This window comes from Homo sapiens, chromosome 8 (assembly GCF_000001405.40).
Source record: "Homo sapiens chromosome 8, GRCh38.p14 Primary Assembly".
Classification (NCBI taxonomy): domain Eukaryota; kingdom Metazoa; phylum Chordata; class Mammalia; order Primates; family Hominidae; genus Homo; species Homo sapiens.
The window spans coordinates 81,938,056-81,939,764 of NC_000008.11; the positions used below are offsets into that span (position 1 = coordinate 81,938,056).

The 1,709-nt window shown below is 42.2% G+C and overlaps 1 annotated feature.

Moving 5' to 3' along the window:
- Positions 618-1,188: an enhancer, noted in NCBI's record as "H3K4me1 hESC enhancer chr8:82850908-82851478 (GRCh37/hg19 assembly coordinates)". NCBI's record gives its function as "activates a minimal SCP1, AML or CMV promoter by ChIP-STARR-seq in naive H9 embryonic stem cells {active_cell/tissue: H9 hESC(naive)}" and the evidence as "EXISTENCE:reporter gene assay evidence [ECO:0000049][PMID:30033119]".

Consider the following 1,709-nt stretch of genomic DNA (forward strand, 5'->3'; position numbering starts at 1 on the left):
ATATTAAGAACCAATGATCAGAAAATGAGAATTTCCCAAGGTATTTACTCACAGGTACGCAATAACACATGCACAATAGTGAATATTGGGGTGGTCTTCTCAACATCCACCCTGCTCCTGTCCCATTATGAAGTGTGCAGTTTGGGGGATTTATCATAGCTCCAGGGGAAGAAAATGATTAAGCAGTTTTTATAATTCTCCCCCAAATTTCCATGATTATTATTTTAAGCTTCCAGGTCTCAGTCAAGCAGCCTGTAAGATTCTCGAGGGAAGATTTATGTGGCCAGCATGTAAATAAAATTAAATAAAAAAGAATAGAAAATAGTTGAGTGCATCATAGAGATCTGTAGCGAGAACAGATCTGTAGCACATCAGAACTAATGCTGTGGCCACTTGTAATCTGTGTGTGATACAATTAGTGGAAGAGATGTTAGAAATGTAATATCTTGGCTGGAAAGAGATTTAATCTTTTGCTCTCAGATAGCTTTCTGAATTTGAGGCATATAATAACAGTATTAATTAATGCAAAAAAGGCCCTGATTCTGTGTCAGGGACTGTTCTAAGAACTTTATGTACATTAATTATTTAATAATCACTGCAAGTCTATGATTTAAGGACCCTTCTTAGTCCCATTTTACAGATGAAGAAATGGGCAGAGTGCAGTCATGTGTCCAGAGTCCACAGCAAGCATGAAGAGGAGCAAGGTTCAGCACCAGGCTGTTTGCCTCTATAATCTGTGCTCATGAACACAGTGCTATATTGACCATTTTACATTTGGGCCAATACTGTATGATTTAATTTTATATTAACACAATTGGCATTTCATTGTGAAGCAAGGTGCAAAGAAACTGACTCACAACTGGCAAAGTGTTGAGGCTTTCAACTTGGTTTAAGTGTGTATGGGCATTTTTTAAAAAAGAACCTTGCCGGGGCCAGGCGCGGTGGCTCACGCTTGTAATCCCAGCACTTTGGGAGGCTGAGGCAGGCGGATCACGAGGTCAGGAGATCCAGACCATCCTGGTTAACACAGTGAAACCCCACCTCTACTAAAAATACAAAAAAATTAGACGGGCATGGTGGCGGGCGCCTGTAGTCCCAGTTGCTCGGGAGGCTGAGGCAGGAGAATGGCGTGAACCCGGGAGGTGAAGCTTGCAGTGAGCGGACATCTCGCCACTGCCCTCCAGCCTGGGCGACAGTGCTAGACTCTGTCTCAAAAAAAAGGAACCTTGCTGGGTGCAGTGGCTCACGCCTGTAATCCCAACACTTTGGGAGGCTGAGGCGGGTGGATCACAAGGTCAGTTCTAGACCAGCCTGGCCAACATGGCGAAACCCCGTCTCTATTAAAAATACAAAAATTAGCGGGGCGTGGTGGCACACGCCTGTAATCCCAGCTATTTGGAAGGTTGAGGCAGGAAAATTGCTTGAACCTGGCAGGCGGAGGTTGTGTGAGCCAAGATCACGCCACTGCACTCTAGCCTGGGCAACAGATAGAGACTCTGTCTCAAAAAACAATCAATCAATAAAAAATAAAGTGAGCTTATGAAATATGACTTTTTTAGAATTTAAGACAAACGTAACATTTCAGTTGAAGTAGCACAATTGCCTTTAAATAAATAATTTTATTAATAAAAGAATGGGAAGGATGAAGTGAAAAATATAGAGGCAAACCTGATGAATATGTATGATACTGTTCCTGAGAGGAATAAAAC